This window comes from Homo sapiens, chromosome 8, assembly GCF_000001405.40.
Source record: "Homo sapiens chromosome 8, GRCh38.p14 Primary Assembly".
NCBI classification, from domain to species: domain Eukaryota; kingdom Metazoa; phylum Chordata; class Mammalia; order Primates; family Hominidae; genus Homo; species Homo sapiens.
The window spans coordinates 119,883,136-119,908,858 of record NC_000008.11 but is presented as its reverse complement, the minus strand read 5'-3'; the positions used below and the strand labels follow the sequence as shown (position 1 = coordinate 119,908,858).

At 42.8% G+C, this 25,723-nt stretch overlaps 1 protein-coding gene and 1 pseudogene across 2 annotated transcripts in view, besides 2 other annotated features; one reads left to right on the top strand and one right to left on the bottom strand.

Moving 5' to 3' along the window:
• DEPTOR (DEP domain containing MTOR interacting protein) overlaps positions 1–25,723 on the bottom strand; it is a 177,197-nt gene that overhangs the window by 142,060 nt on the left and 9,414 nt on the right. The window lies entirely within an intron of this gene.
• Positions 12,837–12,981: an enhancer, noted in NCBI's record as "145 bp enhancer 57 fragment used in the MPRA reporter construct; PK_construct_671". NCBI's record gives its function as "activates an SV40 promoter by MPRA in HepG2 cells {active_cell/tissue: HepG2}" and the evidence as "EXISTENCE:reporter gene assay evidence [ECO:0000049][PMID:23512712]".
• Positions 12,903–12,916: a transcriptional cis regulatory region, noted in NCBI's record as "HNF1 motif; enhancer activity is reduced when this motif is scrambled". NCBI's record gives its function as "necessary for full MPRA enhancer 57 activity {active_cell/tissue: HepG2}" and the evidence as "EXISTENCE:site-directed mutagenesis evidence [ECO:0005528][PMID:23512712]".
• RNA5SP277 (RNA, 5S ribosomal pseudogene 277) lies at positions 17,630–17,727 on the top strand (annotated as a pseudogene).

Genomic DNA, 25,723 nt, shown 5'->3' with positions numbered 1-25,723 from the left:
TGTAAAATGTCCAGAAAATCAGTCCGCATTTATCAGACTTGTAATTTTCCCACTGATTACACAAGGGAAGCTCAGGGACAAACAGCTTGATTCAATAGCAACTCAAGTCCTCAATTTCTTTGTTTTAAGAAAAGAGCTGCAAGCAGCCTGGCCAACATGGTGAAACCCCATCTCTACTAAAAATACAAAAATTAGCCAGGCGGGATGACGCATGCCTGTAGTCCCAGCTACACTTGTCCCACAAGACTGCCCCCACTCCAGATACCAATTGCAAGTAGTAGGCAGTCACCTGTACTTTTAACTGACTGGCTTTAAATCAAGATTCCCATCATCTCCTCCACAAGTTCAAATAATTTGTTAGGAAGGCTCACAGAAGTCATGGAAACACTTACTTACATTTATTGGTTAAAAAAAATTTTTTTTTTCATTTTTTGTACTACCAGGGTCTCACTATGTTGCCCAAACTGGCCTGGAACTCCTGGCCTCAAGCCATGCTTCTGCCTGGGCCTCCCAAAGCACTGGGGTTACAAGTGAGCCACTGCACCTCACCCATTTACTGGTTTTTTATCCAGTATATTAGAGGGGATACTGATGAATGCCAGATGGAGATGGATAGGGCAAGGTATAGAAAGGGGGACACAGAGCTTCCATGCCCTCTCTTGGCCAGCCACCCTCCCAGCACCTACACATGTCAGCAACTCAGAAGCTCATCAAATCTCATTGTTCAAGAGTCTTACAGTTTGATCTCCGGACTCCTTCGGCCTCCACTTTTCCTAGTGGTTGGTGGGTGGGGTTGAAAGTTCCAACCCTCTCATCCTCTAATCACTTGGTCTTTCTGATGGCCAGCCTCATCATGAGGCTAGCTAGGTGTCCCACCCTGAGTCACTTTATTAACATAAATTCAGTTGTGCTAATAAGGGCTTATTATAACAATAGACACTCTTATCACTTGGGAAATTCTGAGAGTTTAAGCTCTGTGAGGAACCAGGGACTAAATATATTTCATATTATATCACAGTAACTCAATTGCCCTCCATTGATTCATGGATTCTTATTTTCTTCCCTTTTTTTTTGTTTTTTGAGACAGAGTCTCTCTCTGTTGCCAGGCCAGAGTGCAGTGGCATGATCTCAGTTCACTGCAACCTTCAAGGGATTCTCCTGTCTCAACTTCCTAAATAACTGGGATTACAGGCATGCGCCACCACGCCCCGCTAATTTTTATATTTTTAGTAGAGATGGGGTTTCACCATGTTGGCCAGTGTGGTCTCAAACTTGATCCACCTGCCTCGGTCTCCCAAAGTCCACCACACTGGCCCTTATTTTCTTTCTCTACCTAAAAAGTCATCTCCCTAAGGGCAGGAATCATGGTGTCTATTTCTTTCTATTTCTTGATTTTAGTACAAGCAAAAGCTGTTCCCACAGGCCCTCAATAAATATTTATAGGCTGATTAACTAAACATAAAATATTATCCGTAGGCATATGTATTTTAAAAATCATTCTGGGAAGAAAATATTTTTTAAAAAAATATCTAGGTTTCTTTGAAATTTTGTGAAGAAATCTGTGCCCCATATATTTCTTAAAAACCTCAAATTAATCTGTAATACAATGTTAATTGCACTTCACACAAAACACTACCCCTCAACCTTGTTCCAATCCATCCATTAGTAGGAAGGTAGTGTCATGGGCCAGATCTTACGTTTTGTTGCCATGTGAAAAAAACAGTTTTGTTGCTACAACATCATAGACCCCTGGATTCAAAAGTCAAACAGAAAAATATGCTTTTGGTGTTGTAATCATCACCAGTAAGAGCCACGGTGGGAGGAAGAATAGCCTCATTCTCTTCGCCTGCTTATACAAGGGCTATTTACCATGTTGACAGTCCTTTCATCCCTGCCAAGAGAGTCACAATATCCCTTTTATTAATCACTCACCACAGGCACCATGTAATGCACAGGAATACTATTGGCCCTGATGAACAACGCGAATGCTCTCAGAAGACACAGAGAAATTATGTGAGGGTCTTGACTACCCTAAGATAAACAGTGAGGGCTAGAGCTCAAAATCAAAGCTCTGGTGTCCTGCATAGAGCTCTGGGAAATCCTATGAAGGCCTTCCTTCAGTAAAGTCTATAAACATTTGTCACCAGCCATCACTTTAGGCTTATGGTCCAGCAATAGGGAAAATCAAACTCACTCCAACAATCCATATTTATTGGGTGCCTAGTAATGCTAGACAAGGGGTATACAGCAGTGAATCTGACAGGCCTGGCCTCTCTCACAGGGCTTAGAGTCTTAAGAGTGGTCTATAAAGGAGGGGCCTAAGACCAACCATTGGTGCACAGCTAGAAAATATCAGCATATCTATACTTTTTCTTAAAAGGATTTTAATTTTTTTTTTCTTTTGAGTCAGGGTCTCATTCTGTCACTCAGGCTGGAGTGCAGTGGCATAATCTTGGCTCACTGCAACCTCCACCAGTTGGGCTCAAGTGATCTTCCCGCCTCAGCCTCCTGAGTAGCTGGGACCACAGACATGCACCACCATACCCGGCTTTTTTTTTTTTGTATTTTTAGTAGAGATGGGGTTTCATTATGTTGCTCAGGTTGGTCTTGAACTCCTGAGCTCAAGCAATCTGCCTGCCTTGGCTTCCCAAAGTGCTGGGATTATAGGTGTGAGCCATTGCACCCGGCAAAATTTGTGTGTGTGTGTATATTTATGATATACAGAGTGCATTAGTATAGTAGTACATGTGTGTAACTGTTACATTAGGCCAGGCACAGTGGCTCATGCCTATAATCCCAGCATTTTGGGAGGCTGAGGCAGGAGGCCTGCTTGAGCCCGAGTTCGAGACCAGCTTAGGCAACATAGCGAGATGCTGTCTCTGTAAAAATAAATAAATAAATAACATTTTAAAAATTGGCCAAGTGCAGTGGCTTGCGCCTTTAATCCCAGCACTTTGGGAGACCCAGGCAGGTGGATCATTTGAGGTGAGGAGTTCGAGACCACCCTGGCCAACATGGTGAAACCCCATCTCCATTAAAAATACAAAAATTAGCTGGGCATAGTGACATGTTCCTGTAGTCCAAGCTACTCAGGAGGTTGAGAGGCAGGAGAATCGCTTGAACCTGAGAGGCGGAGGCTGTAGTAAGCCGAGATCATACCACTGCACTTCACTGTACTTCATCCTGGGCAACAAAGCAAGACTCTGTCTCAAAAAAAAAAAAAAAAGCCCATATAAAGCCCATATTGGGGAAAAATCTATGCCTAAAATATTTTTACAGATAAGAGATGGGCAAGCAGAAACATCAGAAACATCAAAAACCACTAGACGACAGGACTATTTCAACTTTCCTAAACATGTCATGTTATTTCAAACCTTTCTTTCCACCTGCTCTTGTCTCTGTATGGTGCTTCTCCCTTCCTGCACTGCACTCCTAGTAAAAACACCTTCAAACTTCAAACCTCACTCAGCTGTCACCTGCTGCAGGAAGTCTTGGCTATCTCACTCTCCCAGGTAGTCTGTCACTTCCATCCGGAGCTCCCATTGCACCTTGCACATCCTTCTATTGCAGAAATTCTCATGCTGGGTTGTAATTGTCTGTCCACATTTCTATCTCTGGCTGTAGCTGTCTGGAATCTCATGCTGTGAGCTTCTTGCGGACAAGATTCCAATGGTTTTCATATTGCCATCAAGGGCTAGCACAGGGCCTGGCACATAGAAGACTCACAGTTTAGGTAAAAGGTGCATTCACTGGCTGGGCATGGTAGCTCACACCTGTAACCTCAGCACTTTGGGAGGCCAAGGCAGGAGGACTGCTTGAGGACAAAAGTTAAAAACCAGCCTAGGCAACATAGTGAGACTCTGTCTCTACAAAAAAAAAAAAAAAAAAAAAAAGCAAAAATTAGCCAGGCATGGTAGCGTGTGCCTGTAGTCCTAGCTACTTGGGTGGCTGAGGTGAGAGGATCACTTGAGCCTAGAAGTTTGAGGCTGTAGTGAGCTATGATCACACCACTGCACTCCAGCCTGGGCAACAGAGGAAGACTCTGGTCTCTTAAAAATAAAGGCGGGGTGCAAAATGGCTCATGCCTGTAATCCCAGCACTTTGGGAGGCCGAGGTAGGTGGATCACCTGAGGTCAGGAGTTCGAGACCAGGCTGGCTAACATGGTGAAACCCCGTCTCTACTGAAAATACAAAAATTAGCTGGGCATGGTGGCACACTCCTGTAATCCCAGCTACTTGGGAGGCTGAGGCAGGGAGAATTGCTTGAACCCAGGAGGTGGAGGTTGCAGTGAGTCAAGATCACACCACTGCTCTGCAGCCTGCGTGACAGAGTGAGACTCTGCCTCAAAAAAATAAATAAATATAAAAATAAAGTTAATTTTTTAAAAAATGTATCCAGTTTTTTCTACCTGCAATTGACTTAAAGGTAACTGAGGTTTACGCCGGGCGCAGTGGCTCATGCCTGTAATCCCAGCACTTTGGGAGGCTGAGGAGGGTGGATCATCTTAGGTCAGGAGTTGGAGGCCAGCCTGACCCACAAGGTGAAACCCTGTCTCTACTAAAAATAGAAAAATCAGCTGGGCGTGGTGGCAGGCACCTGTAGTTCCAACTACTCGGGGCGGCTGAGACATGAGAACTGCTTGAACCTGGGAGGTGGAGGTTGCAGTGAGCTGAGATCGTGCCACTGTACTCCAACCTGGGAGACGGAGTTAGACTCCATCTCAAAAAAAAAACAAAAAAAAGAGAGAGAGAACTGAGGTTTCACACAGCCAATTAAATCGAGTGCCTTTTACTTCCTCCTCCTCTTGTGGAGGGATAGAGGCACTTTGGGGTGGGGAAGAGTGTTCAGGCTCAAGATGTCAGAATAGCAACTCCTGGCCCCCAGAGTCAGGAATAACATTTACAGAAGGGAGGTGGGAATGCTACACATTTTAAATTTACCAGTGAGGGCTGCCCAGTTTCAATCTTGAATTAAAGATTGAGACTAAGCACTGGTAAAGCTGGGAAGACCAAATTCGAAATGCAGAAAAATGCTGTGTTTGGGTGGCACAGTCCTGTGAAGATGCCTGCAGGACTGAGCAGAAAGGAGCCCAGGACGGAGCTGTAAGCCTCATGTCCTGCTCAGTCTCTGTAGGTTACCTCAGAGGCCACTCGGTCTCCAGAGGAGTCAGTCTGGATTCCCCATAAGTACTCTCATAGTTGACATGACGAAATAGGAGACCAAGACTGTCAGTTCTCATCCCTGATCTAATACCAAATCAGATGGCCAAGCAAGAGTCCTTTAAAGGAGCTGGATTAGATCATTGCTGTTTCCTCCAGCCTAAGTTTCAACAACTTCACTATGTTGATGACATAAAGATGGTATGTTAATCAACCATGCAAGGTTTGAGTAACCTTTAGGAAGACCCTCATTAAGGAGTGACTTATGGCAACAAACTTAGGGCAAAAAAATAGTATTTTTGGCTGGGTGCAGTGGCTCACGCCTGTAATCCCAGCACTTTGGGAGACCAAGGTGGGTGGATCACCTGAGGTCAGGAGTTTGAGACCAGCCTGGCTAACATGGCGAAACCCCATCCCTACTAAAAATACAAAATTAGCTGGGCATGGTGGCAGGGACCTATAATCCCAGCTACTTGGGAGGCTGAGGCAGGAGAATTGCTTGAACCCAGGAGGCCGAGGTTGCAGTGAGCTGAGATCGCACCATTGCACTCCAGCCTGGGCAACAGAGCAAGACTATCTCAAAAAAACAGGACCTCACCCAGCCAACGAATATTACTTGAACTCCTACTTCACTGCTGTCCATTGGGCACTGTGCCAGGCACTGGGCATAGAGTAGTAAACAGACACACATAGACCCTGCCCTCACGGAGCACACAATTTTAGTACATTTCACTTGTCTTGTCTCCAAATGTACAGGTTCTTTCGTGTCTAAAAACCCTGAAATTTGATGATTCACTCTAAATTCCAAAGTGGCACGACCCTCAAGATGTTCTCTCCAATTTTGCATATTTTTAAAAAATTCCCCTTGAACACATAAGAACTATACAACTTAATTTTAGCTGAAAATAATTCCTCATCCAACTTAAGAAATCTGCATCTTAAGATTTCAAATGTATTTCTTTACTTTAGCTCTTAGCATCACTATAAACTACTTCAGTTGTCCTCTTTCGAGCATAAGCATTAGGAAACTATGAAACTTGGAGTCAAAAAATCCTAAATCTGCCAGACATGGTGGCTCACACCTGTAATCCCAGCACTTTGGGAGGCCGAGGCAGGTGGATCACCTGAGGTCAGGAGTTTGAGACCAGCCTGGCCAACATAGTAAAACGCCATCTCTACTAAAAATACAAAATTAGCCAGGTGTGGTGGCACATGCCTGTAGTCCCAGCTACTCAGGAGGCTGAGACAGGAGAATCGCTTGAACCAGGGAGGCAGAGGCTGCAGTGAGCTGAGATCGTGCCACTGCACTCCAGCTTGGGTGAGACAGAGTAAGACTCTGTCTCAAAAAAAAAATCCTAAATCCTAAATCTGAGCAGTCTCCATCACTTAGTCATGTGTGCCCATGGCCAAGTCACTTAGTTTCTCTCTGAGCTCCATTTATTTTGCCACTTAGCATATTTTTTATTCCTTGTCTATTGTATACCCATCTTTGTACCAAATCCTGGGGACACAACATTGAGCAAGGAAGTATTACAAGACTTCACGTAAAGCTTTTCATCTCTAAATTGGGAATCAACATAATCACTCAGGTTCCTCTCTGCTCATAGGATTAAGGGTCAGTAGGATGTTGGGGATCAGCAGAATGGTGTATATAAAATCTCTTTCCAAAATATAAGATGCTGTGTAAATGTTAGCGGATGTTCATAATATGTATCACAGACACTTAGCACAAAAATAAAATCAAGAAAAGGAAAATTGAAAAAAAAAGTTTAAAAAGGATAAAAAAGAAATAAATAAAATAAAATAAGGAAAGGAAAACTGTTACAGAAATACAGAAATAGTGGAATTTCCTTACATTTTCATCTCACCCAGCAAGTGTTCCTTGTGATTCTACAGACCAAAGGCTAACAGTATGACCTGTGTCCATTGCTTCAGAAAGCATTGGAGCCATCAACAAATAGCTGCTGTGAATCAATGAGAGTGAAATTATCACATCTTTCGTTCTTTTTTTTTTTTTTTTTTTGAGACAGAGTCTTGCTCTGTTGCCCAGGCTGGAGTGCAGTGGCACAATCTCGGCTGACTGCAACCTCCACCTCCTGGGTTCAAGCGATTCTCCTGCCTCAGCTTCCCAAGTAGTTGGGACTATAGGCACATGCCACCACACACAGCTAATTTTTTGTATTTTTAGTAGAGATGGGGCTTCACTGTGTTAGCCAGGATGGTCTCGATCTCCTGATCTCGTGATCCGCCCACCTCAGCCTCCCAAAGTGCAGGGATTACAGGTGTGAGCCACCACGCCTGGCTGAAATTATCATATCTTTCTAACAGCATCAGGGAGAGCTAAAAATATTAATATGTTTGTGCATCTTCTCACCTGCAATTATATAATCAGCTGATTCTGAAATGGGAGTTTGTGTTTGTACCTAAATATTTAGCAGTTTCAATAGCACACTGAAGTGACAGACTGAAACATAAAAAGACCAATAGAAAGTTAATGGCTCATGAGAGAATTGCATAAATATCCTCGTCCATGCATAGATCTGAAACTGCAAACAACCAAATGAAATCAATTAAGTACAAACACTCTGCTTCTTACTCCCAATGTAGATTCCAAAGCACAGAGAGATTCAATTCTTAAAATCTCTGAGTCTTCCTACTTTTGAAAAAGGAAAGAGGAGAATGAAATTTCAATGCTTTGAAACTAAAAGCAATTTTACTTTCCACTAGGGATCAATCAACATGCATTTCACATTTATTTATATTCTACTCTATGCCTAGAAGAGTGAAGATGCTGTGGGAGTTGCAAAAATAGAATAACATTCAGCCATTTATATAACAAATGTAGTTAGAAGTCAAACATTTTTGGGTATTAGAGCTCATACAAATGTGAGGGATAAGATGGTTATTCTATATCAAGCAGAATTAGCCTTTGCTTATACCTTGTAGCAGGCAATACTTTAATATAAATAGCTCTGTCTTTGTGCTTTTAGAAAAGAAAAAAAAGTGTAAGGTCCAGGTGCACTGATTCACATCTGTAATCCTAGGACTTTGAGAGGCTGAGCCAGGAGGATCACTTGAGCCCAGGAGTTCCAGATCAACCTGGGCAACATAGTGAGACCTTGTCATTCCAAAAAAAAATTAAAAATGAGCCAGGTGTGGTGGCACATGCCTGTAGTCCTAGCTACTCAGGAGCCTTAGATGGTAGGATCACTTGAGCTCAGGGGGTCAAGGTTGCAGTGAGCTATGATCATGCCACTGCACTCCAGCCTAGGCAAGTGTGAGACCCTGTCTCCCAAAAAAAAAAAAAAAAAAAAAAAAGGTGAGGGGTGTGTAATAGACATTTAGTTTTTTTTTTTTTTTCTTTTTTTTTTTTTTGAGATGGAGCCTCGCTCTGTTGCCCAGGCTGGATGGAGTGCAATGGCACAATCTTGGCTCACTGCAACCTCCACCTCCCAGGTTCAAGCTATTCTCCTGTCTCAGCCTCCCGGGTAGCTGGGATTGCAGGTGTGCGCCACCACGCCTGGCTAATATTTTGTATCTTTAGTAAAGACGGGGTTTTACCATGTTGGCCAGGCTGGTCTTGAACTTCTGACCTTATGATCTGCCTGCCTCAGTCTCCCAAAGTGCTGGGATTACAAGCGTGAGCCACTGCGCCCAGCCGACATCTATAATTTTTGTCACATAGAATTTATATTTACCCATTCCTGGTACTAATCTCTGTGTTAATTATGGTTCTTTGATTACAAGAAACAAGAACAAATTCTGGCTAATTTAAGCAAAGAGGAACTTTACTGAAAGGAAATAGAGGCTCTTATAAATTCAAGGGAAAGCTAAAAAACCAAGCTCAGAAAAACATAACTGTATAACTGTGACTATGCTCAGGAGTCTCATTAGGGAAGCATAGGAACTGCTAGAAGCATTTAAAATTAGATAGGTAAGATATTTCCAGAGACATTTAAGAACTTCTACATGATGAAGACTGCACGATCTTGAAATAGGTTTGCGAGTTTCTCTGAGCTATGTAGTGATTCACGGAGCACAAATTATGGTTGTCTCATAACAGATTGTGATTTTTAAAAAAATGTTTTACAAAACAAAAACCATTCCAATTGCCAATGCCAGAAAACTCATCTCAGAAAGCAGATACTTTATTTAACTGAAATTTTTGACTACCATTGTAAATACACATAGATTCTTGCACAGATTTAAGGCATTAACCTTCTATAAGTCTATGTTTAGCATCTGAATGAATGTATGCATGCCTTTTGGGTCCAATTGACAAACAACTTTTCCCGCTTAAAGAAGATATGAAAATGAATGAAGAGCAGGTAATTCCTTCTTCAGCCTTCATTCAGCTCCTAGATAAAATCCTGAGACAAAGAACAAGAATTAAAAGATATCGAAAGAGACTCCTGTGTTAGTAAAGTGCAATCCAGCTAAATAACAGGTTTCTAAAGTAATTTCTTGTCTCATAACATGAGGAAGTCTGATAACATTAACAAAAACAAGCAGCTGATAAATATATGACAAAATGAATAAATCACTCTATTACAGGATAGGGAAAAGCTGAAGAACAGTATGACTTTCTATCTACAATACTACTTTTAAATTTATAGTGGCTGATAGAGGGTTCACCAAAAGCGATGGGAGAAAATTAAGTCAGTATTCCACATTTGGCTAAAACAACAATACATGTGGTCTCATATGAATTTCACCAAAAGGAATATGGGGTTTTGGCACAGGCTGCACAGAGAGAACCCATTAGTCCTTAGTGGCACATATATTTTTAATGTCATCTTCTGTATCAATGAAATAAGTGGTAGGCATCTATGCTGAGGGGAAAATAACTAGAAAACAAATGATTTAGGGTTCTATGTGGCTAACTATTTAAGTGAAGTATTTACCCTTGATCAAAACTATCACAATGTCCCTAAGCTTGCTTTCCTAAAATATAAGGCTTTTTTTTTTTTTAGTTTTTATTTTTTTTGAGACAGGGACCCAGGCTGGAATGCAGTGGTACAATCTCAGCTCACTGCAACCTCTGCCTCCTGGGCTCCAGCGATCCTCCCACCTCAGCCTCCTGAGCAGCTGGGACCACAGGCACATGCCACCATGCCAAGCTATTTTTTGTACTTTTGGGAGAAGCGGGGTCTCATCACATTGCCCAGGCTGGTCTTGAACTCCTGAGCTCAAGCAATCTGCCCTTCTTGGCCTCCCAACGTTCTTGGGATTACACACGTAAGCCACCACACCCAGCCCAATACAAGGCTTTTAAAATTAAAATTATCATAATCAACACCAAACCTTTCAAAATCAATTTATAAATTTATAATCTCTTGTTTGGGAGAATGCCAACAATTTCTAGTAAATGTTCCTTAGTTTAACCGTATAGAAACCGCAGAAACACATTCACACACGTACACAACACACATCTTTTCTTTCTTAGATATACACCAAGGGTTGGCAAAGGTTTTCTATGAAGGGCCAGATAGCAAATATTTTTGGCTTAGGAGACCACACAATTTCTGTTGCAACTACTTAACTCTGTTGTTGAAGCATGAAAGTAGTTGTAGACAATACGTAAATCAGTGGGCATGACTGTGTTTCAGTAAAACTTTATTATACAGGTAGCCATAGTTGTTGCCTATCCCTCACATTGGCATCTATAATTTAAACATCTCTACATTTAAAATGATGTATGAATATTTGTACATCTTCATTTCATAATTGAAAAAAAGTTACTTCCTGAATGTTAACTGAGTCATGTTGACCTATTTACTACTATTAATAGCAGGAGCAACTAACAATGAGTGTTTCCTACATGCTAGGTCTCATTCTAAGAACTTCAAATGCATGTACCTCAAATACCCCTTTTATTCTTCTTATTTTATAGAACAGTAAAAGGGCCAGGCGTGGTGGCTCACGCCTGTAATCCCAGCACTTTGGGAGGCCGAGGCAAGCAGATCAAACAGATCCTATTTTCTACCAAATCTCAAGGTCTTGTGTGAAAAAATTCAGTTATAGTCATAAAATTATTGCCTCATCTATTCCTACAAAGAAAGTGGGAGGGTCTTGAATTAATTATCCAGTGCTTACAGAAATCGAGAAATATCTTGAAAAGCTCTTATACTACAATATACCAAATAATTTTTTGAATTATTTTTTTGAGACAGAGTCTCACCCTGTCAACCAGGCTGGAGTGCAATGGTGCAATCTCAGCTCACTGCAACCTCTGCCTCCCAGGTTCAAATGATTCGCCTGCCTCAGCCTCCCGAGTAGCTGGGATTACAGGCGCCTGCTACCATGTCCAGCTAATTTTTGTATTTTTAGTAGAGACAGGGTTTCACCATGTTGGCCAGGCTGGTCTCGAACTCCTGACTTCGTGATCTGCCCACCTCGGCCTCCCAAAGTGCTGGGATTACAGGTGTGGGCCACCGCTCCCGACCTGGAATATGTTTTAATGATCCTTACATGAAATTCTGTTGGATAATCTATCCCTTATGTGTAAAACACATCCAGTCTGGGGATATGCATTTTTCTAGAGTTTCATGTCATAGAAACTCTTCGAGAACCTAAAATATAACCAACTACACTCATATTCTAGAACTTCTAATATTTTTAGTTAATTATAATCCATAGTGATATCTTCTTATATGTGTACATATACACATACACTGATCACTATGTTGTCTGGTAATTAGGCGTACATAATAGTATAAGTAAATAATTATTCATGCAACCAACCCAAGTTTTTGTAGCTTTTATTAATAAATATTTCTTCATTTGTGATGTATTAATGTTGTTATTAATCATTTCCATATATGTAGTTGACACAATTATTATCATCTATGTAAGTTTAATTTTTGCCCAACACAGACACAAATATTCAAAGATTAGTCAAGGCTGGGCACGGTGGTTCACGCCTGTAATCCTAGCACTTTGCGGGGCCGAGGCAGGAGGATTGCATGAGGTCAGGAGTTTGAGACCAGCCTGGCCAACATGATGAAACCTCGTCTCTACTAAAAATACAAAAATTAGCCAGACAGTGGCACCTGCCTGTAATCCCAGCTACTCGTGAGGCCAAGGCGGGAGAATCACTTGAACCCAGGAGGTAGAGGTTGCAGTGAGCTGAGATGATGCCACTGCACTCCAGCTTGGGCAACAGAGCGAGACTCAGGCTCAAAACAAAACAAAACAAAAACACAAAGAAACAAAGAAAAGTCAAAGTTCAAAGGTCCAGGCTCCATGTCCACAATAGCTGGGGCATCTCCGCCTCTGACCGCCACACTCCAACAGCTTAGGGCTGAGCCCAGCTGTGTCCTCAACCATCAAAGAGCATGGCCTTTGGAGGGAAACTGGAGCTGCAATCCCAGCTCCCACCTGCTCACCTTGTAACCCTGGGCAAGTTTCTTAATCTTTCTAAGCCTTTGCTTTCTCATTTCTAAAATGGGACTAATGATACTTACTCCAGGATTAAATGATACTGTTCAAATAAACTGCATGCCACTACTGGTCACATAGTATGGTTCAATAAATACTGGTTTTTATTTTTATTATTGTTGTTACTATTTATTGAGAAGGTTGAAAGAAAATCTACATAACACAAAATCCATAAATACTGCAAAAAAAATAGCATAATAACAAAATTTACAACCTACTCCCAAGGAATAAATTAGCCATGTATCTTGGCGGACATAAAATAGAGTGTTAAAAAGTGTTAAACAATTAAAAAGAGTAAGAGGTTAAAAAAATAACCTAGTTTAACCTTTGATCTAAACATCCTTATCTAATAAGATAAGGTAAAGTTTAAAGTCCTCATTTCAAAGCATCGGTGTAAGTCAAAATGCATTTGTACCATGGAAATAATGGTATGCCTCTTCCTGGATTTTAAGCAGGAACCCCTGGATATATGAATGAATAGGACACCATACCTCACCTTGGAAAGTGTGCAGACATGCCAGCTGAGGAGGGACCCAAGGAATTGGTGGATGTGACCTCAGAGGCTCAGCTTGATCTGCTAGGCTGTGGGTGGGCTGGGACTAGTAGCCTGGCCTTTCCACAGCAGAAACTGCAGCTTCAATCAAGCCCCCAAGGCTCTTCTGTGCCTGAGTTCAAAATACTTGTCCTCCAGAAATAAAGCCATTCAGCCATTCTCATGCTTATACTACAGCAGAGGGATAGGGTACCCCCTGAGGAACAGAAACATGCAGCTTGGCCAGACAGGTTGATGTACCTGCCCAACTCATTGTAGGATAGTAAGAGGACAGAGGACTGCACGTCCCTTCTTGCTGATCCTTTGGATTTATGCGTGCCCAGTTAAGCTGTTCCTTAATCTGGACCATAAAATGTTGTGGTATTCACCTTTATCTACTTCACCACACAAACAGGACAGAAATGTGCAAGGCTGTAGACCCTCTGATGGAAGTCTATACAAGGTACTAAAAGGCTCAATGCAGGAAGGGCACCCATACTTTTAAGTCACTAGAATAATGAGTCCAGCAATTACAGTTGTACTTCTCTTTCAGGTTTCAACTATTGCTTACACTTTCCATTCCTGAAAGTCTGAAGGAGAGGGGGAGACAGGCCTGCAATCACCTTGACCTTTATCCAGGAAGATTATCAAATGGGACATAGGGGCTCTTCAAGTAGAAAACATCTGCCCTGTGAGAAAAATATACCTCACTTTGACAACGTTCTACCATGGAATGCATTTCATGTCACACAGATTCGATTCCCAAAGCCACATGGCCTCGTGTGGTACAAATGTCTACCTTCTAATGTATGCAAATTTTAAGTGACAAACTGCATTTTTCAGATGTAACCTTTGAGAAAGATTCTGAATAGACCCCAGGGTAGTTATAAATAAGTATTGTCTTTGTTACATACTATACCGAACTTTCTATGAAAGTCCAATTCCCAGGATTCTCCAGGCATATTAACTAACTGTGGCTATGTTCTATTAATAATAGTAAATTCAATTACTAACTTTTAAGAACTATTAGAGGCCAGGCGCGTTGGCTCACGCCTGTAATCTTAGCACTTTGGGAGGCAGAGGTGGGCAGATCATGAGGTCAGGAGATCGAGACCATCCTGGCTAACACAGTGAAACCCTGCCTCTACTAAAAATACAAAAAATTAGCCGGGCATAGTGGCGGGTGCCTGTAGTCCCAGCTACTTGGGAGGCTGAGGCAGGAGAATGCCGTGAACCCAGGAGGCGGAGCTTGCAGTGAGCCAAGATTGCGCCACTGCACTCCAGGCTGGGCAACAGAGCGAGACTCTGTCTCAAAAAATAAATAAATAAATAAATAAATAAAAAAGAACTATTAGAGGCCAGGTGCAGTGGTTCACACCAAAGACATAATCCCAGCACCTTGGGAGGCCGACGTGGGAGGCTCGCTTGAGCCCAGGAGTTTGAGACCAGCCTGGACAACATAGTGAGACCCTGTCTCAAGAACAACAACAACAAATTTTTAATTAGCTGGGTGTGGTGTCCCAGCTACTCAAGGGTAAGCTAAGGTGGAAGGATCGCTTGAGCCCAGGAAGTCAATGCTGCAGTGAGCCATCATCACACCACAGCATTTCAGCCTGGGCAACAAAGGAAGACCTTGTATCAAAAAACAAAACAACTGTGAGGATAAATATCATAATAAAATTTCCTTTCACACAAGCTGTTAATAAAGATTGCAATGATTTCCCCAAAAGTATATAGATCCCGTTAGTATGACTACCATAGTGATGGTGGCCTTTCCCTCAACACCTGTCTATTTAGAAGTTCACGAAGATGAGATAGAGTTCTGGCCACTAGAAGTTTTCTCTGGCAGAGGCTGGAGAATCAATGGAGGAACACTGGTAGGGTAGCAGAGTTACAGGTGACAGAGTAGTGTTCTGAATCTCAAGAACCTATGGAGAGATTTTTTTTTTTTGAGACGGAGTCTTCTCTGTCACTGGGTTCAAGCAATTCTCCTGCCTCAGCCTCCCGAGTAGTTGGGGTTACAGGCGCATGCCACCACACCCACTAATTTTTGTATTTTTAGTAAAGACAGGGTTTCACCATGTTGGTCAAGCTGGTCTCAAACTCCTGACGTCAAGTGATCCACCTACTGCGGTCTCCCAAAGAGCTGGGATTACAGGCACGAGCCACCAGGCCTGGCCTAGGAGAGAAGATCTTTATGAGATTCATCCACCAACTTCATGCACTCTCAGTAAGTCTGGCTTCATCCAGGAAATCATAGACTACAGATAGACAGGAACAACATGAAGGAACCAAAAATGTCCAGATAATGCCCAAATTCTCACAGATTTCAAACTCCTCCCTGAATAAACGTTCTTCCAGAACTGCTGACAAGTAGCCAAACCAACTTCCTCTCCTTCTCTGTGTTCCCCTTTAGGGAAAGAAATTATCTAGCAGCTGAATAACCACCCAAAGCAGAGGAAGACAATTGAAGAGATTTCCCCTGGTTAATTAAGCATATAAATAATCAAATAACTTTTTGTCCCATGATAAATGAAATGGCTTAATAAATCCTGGTGCATTGGGATAGTGGTTTCTAAAGAATTCCTGCCCCTAACCACTATACCTTCACTTGAAAGATGTAATTGTAAATTATAATAAAGTCTGCCAGGCGCGGTGGCTCATGCCTGTAATCCCAGGACTTTGGGAGGCCGAGGCAGGTGGATAACCTGAGAACAGGAGTTCGAGACCAGCCTGGCCAACATGGTGAAACCCCGTCTCTACTAAAAATACAAAATTTAGCCGGGCATGGTGGCGTGTGTCTGTAATCCCAGCTACTAAGGGGACTGAGGCAGGAGGATCGCTTGAACCTGGGAAACAGAGGTTGCAGTGAGCCAAGATCGTGCCACTGCACTCCAGCCTGGGCAACAGGGCGAGACTCCGTCTCAAAAAAAAAAAAAATTATAATAAAGTCCTTAGTAATCAGACTCTGCTCTTCTTGGCTTAAAGCTCTCATTAGCGCAGACTCAGCAAATAGTGAACATGTAGACAAATGTGTTGGCTCCAAGCCCAGCTTCTTGTATTTCATAGATGCTTCTCAATGGGTTTAACTGGAGCTTCTCTCTTTTGTAGTCAACACAGGCATAAGAAAAATCATGCTTTTCATATCACAGTTCCTTGTCAGTACATGAGTACAAAAGGTTTGCTGCATGTGGACACGTGCTACCCATTTCATAGAATAAAAGGCTAAACTCATACAGTATTATCTGAGCATAAAACCACTTTTATTTGGATTCATTACTATTACTTATATTTATGGTAAGATGCAGTACAAAATCAATGCCAAAGTTACTGTTGTAATGTCAATGCAATGATATACTGAGGTATAAGCTTAATCTTATTAATAGTGGAGAAAAATATTGACACCTTGATAATCAAAGGTAGCTCCAGGCCAGGTATAGTAGCTCATGCCTGTAATCCCAGCACTTTGGGAGACCAAGGCGGGCAGATCACCTGATGTCAGGAATTTGAGACCAGCCTGGCCAACATGGCAAAACCCCGTCTCTACTGAAAATACAAAAATTAGCTGGGCGTGGTGGCACGTGCCTGTAGTCCCAGCTACTCGGGAGGCTGAAGTGGGAGAACTGCTTCCACCCGGGAGGTGGAGGTTGCAGTGAGCCAAGATTGCACCACTGCACTCCAGCCTGGGTGACACAGCCAGACTCTGTCTCAAAAAACAAAACAAAACAAAACAAAAAACAAAAAAACAAAGGTAGCTCCAACAGAGGCTGAGGGGATGACAAATATATTGAAACACATGACCTGAAAGACCTTTACTCAGTTGAGTTATGCAAGTAAAGAACATTTTGCAGTTTTCCCAGAAGTCTGCATCTTAATTATTCCTCAAGTAGCTTTGCTTATACAAAGAGATGACTTTTATACAGCTTTGGCTGGGACTCTCTCTGAGTGGAGGTGTTTCTTGGAAAGACATCAAAACTCAAGTAATACAAAAATCATTCCATGAAATTTGAATGTAAGCCAATTGCCACTTCAGTCATATGTTGAGAGCTCTATTTTACTTTATTACTGAGCAAATCTTTGCTGGGGGGGACAGGCATATCTTCCAAGTAAGGGAATGGTTTGGGGTGAAGGAGTGAGCATGATGAACAGGCCGTCCTCACGGTGAGGAGGTTTACACCAGGACAATTACATTGTAAGTAGTAAAGAACAAAATGTACACTAACATCTCCTAAGTTTTCTCAGCCTGTATCTTTTTCTATGGAATATTTTCTTCAACCAATGAAGGACATTGCTGTGCCTTAATATCTAGTGGGTCTGTGAGTTAAGATGATTCAAAAAGATCAGAGCTCACAACTTTTGTGGATGGTGAATGGCAGACAGCCCCGTCTTCAGTCTTGATTGCTGCGGGTGGCCATTGTAAGACTATAAAAGAAGTCTTCATGAAGACATCGTGAAAGCTCAGAGTAGAATCAAGGAAATTTAAGAGAAATAGACCGAGTCTACAGCCATACCACCCTGAACGTGCCAGATCCCATCTGATCTCGGAAGCTAAGCAGGGACAGGCCTGTAATCCTGTGATTACAGGCCTGTCCACAGGATGTTCCAGTGAGCCAAGATTGCACCACTGCCCTCCAGCCTGGGTACTTGGATGGGAGGAATAGACCTGAAATTCTGATCAAACCCTCTCCTGAAATTTAATGTTACATAAGCTTAAGAAATCCCCATTATTGTTTAAACCATTCTATATATTGCCCTTTTGAATTAGTACCTAAATGCATATGTCTTTTCCTCCTTCCCATCCTGCTTAGACTGTGACCCGAAGGCAAACAGAATAAGCCTTACTTCTTGATATTTTACAGGGCTACTTCCACAGCTGTATGTATGTATTCTGAGAGGCCTGGATTCAAAACCAATAAACCAAGCTCCCATACTTACCACATGTGTGACCATGGCAAGTTGCTCATGCCTTGGTTTCTTCCATTTTAAAATGGAGATAATAAAATTATTGTAAGAATTCAAGGAAATAATGTACATATAAAAGCATAAAATAGGACATGACAACATTGCTATCACTATTATTTAACAAATGACTGAATTGTCGCATTTCTTCAAAACTCACATATAGGCCAGGCACGGTGGCTCATGCCTGTAATCCTAACAATTTGGGAGGCCGAGGTGGGTGGATCACCTGAAGTCAGGAGATCAAGACCAGCCTGGCCAACATGGTGAAACCCCATCTCTACTAAAAATACAAAAATTAGCTGGGCATGGTGGCGGGCGCATGTAATCCCAGCTACTTGGGAGGCTGAGTCAGGAGAATCACTTGAACCTGGGAGAGGGAGGTTGCAGTGAGCCAAGATTGTGCCACTGCACTCCAGCCTGGGTGACAGAGTGAGACCCTGTCTCAAACAACAACAACAACAACAACAAACAAACAAACAAACAAAAAAACTCATATAACAATGGACACCTTGCCAGGCGTGATGGCTCACACCTGTAATCCCAGCACTTTGGGAGGTCAAGGTGAGTGGATCACTTCAGGTCAGGAGTTCAAGATCAGCCTGGGAAACCTTGTCTTGACCCGAAATACAAAAATTAGCTGGGTGTAGCGGCCCATGCCCGTAATCCCAGCTTCTCAGGAGGCTGAGGCACGAGAATCACTTGAACCCAGGAGGCAGATGTTCCAGTGAGCCAAGATTGCACCACTGCCCTCCAGCCTGGGCAACAGAGTGAGACTCCGTCTAAAAACACAAAACAAAACAAAACAAAACAACAACAAAAAAGACACCTTGATCACTTCTCTACAATGATTATCATCACCTCTAACTTTTTGTCCCAAATTCATCTAAAAGTCATGAGAAGACTTCATACTGTACTGAGCTACTGCCACAAGCTTGTTAGGTCAGAAGGGCAACCCAGAAGCTAAAGGGTCAATTCTGGCCTGGTTTCCCACAACATAGGCTCTTTATCACTTATTCTAGGTTTATGGTCTTAAGCCCCCTTGCCCTGCACTGCTTTCCCTTCTCCACTCCTCTCCCCTGTCCTCCCCTCCTCTCCCCTCCCCTCCCCTCCCCATCCTCCCCTCCCCTCCCCTTCCCTTCCCTCCCCTCCCGTCCCCTCCCCACCTCCCCACCCCTTCTCTCCCCTCCCGTCTCCTCTCCTCTCCTCTTTTTCCTTTCTGAGACAAGCTCTCGCTCTGTCACCCAGGCTGGAGTGCAGTAGCCCGAACATGGCTCACTGCAGTCTCGACCTCCTGGGCTTAAGTGATCCTCCCACCTTAGCCTCCCAAGTAGCTCAGATCACAGGTATGCACTAACACACCTGGCTAATTTTTAAAATTTCTGTAGAGATGGGGTCTCCCAGTGTTGCCCAGGCTGGTCTGAAACTCATAGGCTCAAGCCATCTTCCGACCTCAGCCTCCCAAAGTGCTGGGATCACAGACGTGAGCCACTGCACCCAGCTTCTGTGGAAGTTTCTAAGACAGTTATCTTCCCTTGTGTTAGAAGCATGACTTACTTTTTTAAGTGTCCTTCTTTGCCAAGGATGCCTGATAACATCTTCAATACTCCCTAACTCCTCCACCCTTAGATTTTGAATAACTTCATTTTAATGTTTCCCAGTTTTTATATCTATTGAATTATCAGTATATTTATTAAAGTTATTGTGTACAAATTTTTAAATAAATTCATTATATGAATAATGTATGAGACATGAGATTTCCATAATATGTGCTTTTGCCCTTTTCCGCCCAGGCATTCTCCCAACTCCCACTCCTATATGATATACACCCCTTCATAAAATTGATTTTACCTCAGGACAAATACAAATGAACAGACAAAGAAGTCTTTTTTTTTTTTTTTTTTTTTTTGCTGAGACAGAGTCTTGCTCTGTCACCCAGGCTGGAGTGCAATGGCATAATCTCTGCTCACTGCAACCTCTACCTCCCAGGTTCAAGCAATTCTTCTGCCTCAGCCTCCTGAGTAGCTGGGACTACAGGTGTGCACCACCACACCTGGCTAATTTTTATATTTTTAGTAGAGACGGGGTTTCACCATATTGGCCAGGCTGGTCTCAAACTCCTGGCCTCAAGCCATCTGCCTGCCTCGGCCTCCCAAAGTGCTGGGATTACAGGCGTGAGCCACCGTGCCAGCCTTGGATAAAGAATTCTTGTTTATCCATCAAGATTGTTGATTGTTGACTGTTTATCAAACTAGTGATGAGGCACTGAGAAAAATCCTGCCCAGAATTCAACAGGAAGACAGAGCCCTTTATGCCACTGTTGAGTCAACTTTTGGCTTCAAAATGTATAATCCAATCTTTTCTATAGCTTTTCGACACTTCTGCCAAGTCGAGAGCTAAAGGCAGGGGAGGAGAGGGCTTGATATATGACAATTCTAATAGTATAGTATCATAATTCTAAGGAAGCAGTATAATTTCAGAAGAAACATAGTTACCTACGAGTGTGGCATCACTTGGTTATTCTATTTGGAGGAGTTGTTTCTCCTAGAAGGAGAAAAATATGATGTTGTGTTCTCTTTGTTCTCTTTCTAATAAAACAAATAACATTTTAAATTAATTGTTGTAGTAAAAAAAAATAAATAACTGAGGCCCAGTACAGTGGTTCACCTCTGTAATCCCAACATTTTGGGAAGCCAAGGTGGGAAGATTACTTGAGCCCAGGAGTTTGAGAACAGCTTGAGCAATACAGTGAGATGTCGACTCTACTAAAAATTAAAAAAATTAGCCAGGTGTGTTGGCACACACCTGTAGTCCCAGCTACTCAGAGGCTGAGGCAGGGGGCTCACTTGAGCGGGTAGGGTTAAGGGTGCAGTGTGCTGTGATCATGCCCCTGCACTCCAGCCCGGGTGACAGAGCAAGACCATGTGTCCAAAAAACAAAACAAAGAAAGAAAGAGAAAACAAAAACAGCTGCAGTGGCTCACACCTGTAATCCTAGCACTTGGGGAGGCTGAGGTGGGCGGATCACTTGAGGTCAGGTCAGGGGTTAGAGACCAGCCTGGCCAACATGGTGAAACCCCATCTCTACTAAAAATGAAAAAATTAGCTGGGCGTGGTGTTGCATGCCTGTAATCCCAGCTACTTGGTAGGCTGAAGCAGGAGAATCACTTGAACCCTGGAGGCAGAGGTTGCAGCGAGCTGAGATTACACCACTGAACTCCAGCCTGGGTGACAGAGTGAGTACAACTCCAGAAAGAAGAGAAGGGAAGGGGAAGGGAAGGGGAAGGGAGGGGAGGGGAGGGGAGGGGAGGGGGAACGGGAGGGGAGGGGGGAGGGGGAGGGGGGAGGGGGGGAGGGGATGGGGATAGGGGGAGGGGAAAGGAGTGCAGGGTAAGGGGGCTTAAGACCATAAACCTAGGATAAGTGATAAAGAGCCTATGGTGTTGCATGCCTGTAATCCCCAGCTACTTAGTAGGCTGAAGCAGGAGAATCACTTGAACCCTGGAGGCAGAGGTTGCAGGGAGCTGAGATTATGCCACTGAACCCCAGCCCAGGCGACAGAGTGAGTAAAACTCCAGAAAGAAGGGAAGGGAAGGGAAGGGAGGGGAGGGGAGGGGAGGGGAGGAGGGGAGGGGGGGGGGAGGGGAGGGGGAGGGGAGGGGAAGGGGAAGGGACTGGTAAAAACACATAACCATTTCTCCATAGTCTTTAATATAATGTGGTTTTAGGTCATGAATTCCACTTAGTACACACACTTGGTAAAACTGGGCAGGATACATTTTGAGCTGCTCAAGAATAAAAGCCTTCTCTTATTTCACTTGGTATCTCTCACAGCTAGTACTGAGATGCCCGACAAATAGCAGGCACTGAGTAAATATGAGCTGAGCAAGTGAAGAAATGGTATCATTTGCCAAAAATAGGGTTTGTTTAAAAGAAATTCTCATAAAATTAGCTGAAATATAGTTGTCTATTATAAATTTAAGGATTACTATCACAGTGTTGACCTCCCGCATCGTAGTTTTACATTTGCAAAGAAATAAGATTGTCTTTTCACTGGAGTATTTTCTAATTTGTTACACTATTTTTCTTTTTCTCAAAACAACATGTACTAGTGGGTTTTTCCCTTTCTCAAAATAGCAGAAAATTATATTAACCAGCGCAGTTTTTCTGGAAGTGGTAGAATAGGGTTGTGCGTGAATCGTGGAGTGACTCCTGTATGTGTCTATGTGTGTATGTATGTATCTGTGTGTGTGTATCTGTGTGTATATGTGTGTGTCTGTGTGTGTATGTGTATGTGTATGTGTGTGTGTGTCTGTGTGTGTGTACTGGGGGAGATGCCCCCTTGGCTTGTGTCATTCCCCTCCCCTGGCTACAATCCCACCGACTCAGGAATAGGCATGTGACCTAACCAACGAAGTCAGGGTGAACCTCAGGACTTGTGATTGGAGTCCTGAATGGAAATACTTCCCTTTCTCCCAGATGTTATTACAAGCCATATGAGGCCTGACATTCCTGTTCTACCACTGGCTGGAAGATGAAGCCAACCAATAAAAGAGCTGGCACATGAAGGAGCTACAAGAGAGAACCAAAAGAATTGCAGAGAATGAATTAAATTTTAAGGCATTGTATCTCCTGAACTTCCACTTATAGGAGGCAACAGTTTAAGCTGATTGTTTCTTGCAGTCAAAAGCATTAAAAAATATCTGGATAGGGATTTGCGTTGTATAGATGTGCAATTGCTTTAGTCAATATTCATCAAATGGCATATTTTATTGTATATAAATTTTATCTCTGAAAAAAAGAACCAAAAGCAAAGAGTGAATACTAGTTAGTACACCGAGAGCTGAAGGTTTTAGGAAAAGTGTATTATTGTCTACAACGTACTCTGAAATACTTTCCAAAAAAAGATGAATTAATTGACAGATGGATAGAGGGAGAGCTAGATGGATAGTCATGTGATAAAGCAATACAGTGAAATGTTAATTGTGGAATCTTAAGTGGTGGACATGAGTATTCACTGTAAAATTATTTAAACTTTTCTGTACATTTGAAATTTTTCATAATACAATGTTAGAGGAAAAAGCTCTAACTTACTCCTATTGCTTATACTTGGATGTCCTTAAATATTATGTGATGGCTTCTGGCTCTTCAAGTATAACAAGAGAAAAAAATGTTCCTTATCATGGCGTCAAGGCCTGCTAATCCTCTCTCATGACGACCTAGGCTATGCTCACTGTATAACAGTAGAATTTGTTTCTACCGTTAGAATTTATTTTATTGATGACTGGTTTGTAGAATGTAATTGGCAATGTGAGGGAAAATGAATCAGAGTCATACATTAGGTAATTCCCTCAAAACCACATCCCTAAACAGTTTTATTATTGTCAGTTCCTCAGAACAAAATAGGAAGAGATTTGGTAAAGTCTTATTTTATCAACCACAATATAACTTAAGATGATTAAGGGGCATTTCACACTTCAATGTAAAACACAGTCATATACCACTACAGGGAATAAACCCCACTTTTTGCAGTGAATATATTCTGTGTACATCACTTTCATATATAGAAAAGTTAAAGAGAAAAAATAAGTAGCGCTTTAAAAAAAATTCAGTGAAAAGAGGGTCCAAGGTTACCCCATTCTCCTTTCCTCTTGGGAAAGGAGAAAGAAACTAAGAAGCAAAACAATAGTTATTCAAATCAAGAAATTCAGGCCAGGCAAGGTAGCTCACGCCTATAATCCAAAACGGGCCGATTGCCTGAGCTCAAAAGTTTGAGACCAGCCTGGACAACATGGTAAAACCTCATCTCTACTAAAATACAAACAATTAGCTGGGCATGGTGGTTCATGCCTGTAGTCCCAGCTACTCAGGAAGCTGAGGCACAAGAATTGCTTGAACCTTAGAAGCGGAGGTTGCAGTGAGCTTGAACCCTGGAAGCGGAGGTTGCAGTGAGCTTGAACCCTGGGAGCAGAGGTTGCAATCATGCCACCACACTCCAGCCTGAGCAACAGAGAGAGACTCTATCTCCAAAAAAGAAAAACAAAAAAAGAAATTCCCTCTTTACTACACTCATTATATGTGTTTGGAAATAGGACACAAACCTTATCTGTATAAGGAACTTGCATTTTAAGTAGCAAACTAACTCAAGATCCTCAATAGAAATATGTGCTCAATCCTTCAACATGAAAAAAAAAAAAAGCCAATCCTTTAAAAGTATTTTTTTTCTTTGCAAATTGCCTTTTCTCATATTGGTTGTCCTTAAATCAGCAAATAATTCTTTATTTCTACACTGTCCCCCCACTACACTGTCTTCTTTGCTTTCGGACACCACTCACGACTCGCATAGTATTCCTCCAGAATTTCAATGTTTGTTAGATGTTAGCCAAACTTCATACATAATAAAATGCAACCGGCCAGGTGCAGTGGCTCATGCCTGTAATCCCAGCACTTTGGGAGGCCGAGGTGGGCAGATCACTTGAGGTCAGGAGTTTGAGACCAGCCTGGCCAATATGGTGAAACCCCATCTTTACTGAAAATACAGAAATTAGTGAGGTGTGGTGGTGCCTGCCTGTAGTCCCAGCTACTGGGGAGGCTGAGGCAGGAGAATCGCTTGAACCTGGGAACCGGAGGTTGCGGTGAGCCAAGATCATGCCACTGCACTCCAGGCTGGGCGACAGAGAAACTTCATCTCACTCTAACTCTAACCTAACTCTAATGAAACGAGGGTGGCATGCAATGAGAGAATGGCTATGAGAATGTTCATTTGTTTCTTATACCTTAAGTCAAGGTCAGAGTAGCTACTGAGCGTACTGTGCTAGGACTAGTCCTTCTGAATCCTGCCTGCTCTGCACACAAAGGACAAGGTTCTGTTCTCTATAGCTGTAATAGTTTCATCACTCAAAGGAGTGCCTCATGGAGCTGGATGCTCTAAACAAGGCCAAGACATAGATACCTACTGGCCCAAGGCTTACTCAATGAAGAGAGCTTCCGGGTAAATATCAGAACCCAAAATCTGTAGGTAAAAGTATTGCAGGGAGATAGGAGGACACAAGGATCAAAGCAAACAAACACAGTCAAACAGATCTATAAGTAGCAGCCTGAGAGTTATAGGTGGAAAGACTTGAGCCTTGAGCCTCCCTCAGCTGCTACCTACCTCCTCCTCTGCAGCTGCCACGGGCTTCCCCAAGCTAGAGGCCATGACATTTGTTCCCTTTTGCTACACCCTAGCAACAGCTGTTATCTGAAAAGTGGGAATACTAAAGCATATCCTTCTTTTTTTTTTTTTTTTTTTTTTTAAGACGAGTCTCGCTCTGTCGCCCAGGCTGGAGTGCAGTGGCGCGATCTCGGCTAACTGCAACCTCCACCTCCCGGGTTCACGCCATTCTCCTGCCTCAGTCTCCTGAGTAGCTGGGACTACAGGCGTCTGCCACCACACCCGGCTAATGTTTTTGTATTTTTAGTAGAGACGGGGTTTCACCGTGTTAGCCAGGATGGTCTTGATCTCCTGACCTCGTGATCCGCCCGCCTCGGCCTCCCAAAGTGCTGGGATTACAGGGGTGAGCCACCGCGCCCGGCCCTAAAGCATATCTTGTCTCACACTGCAGGGTGTGTTTTCTCTCCTCATCTCCCCACC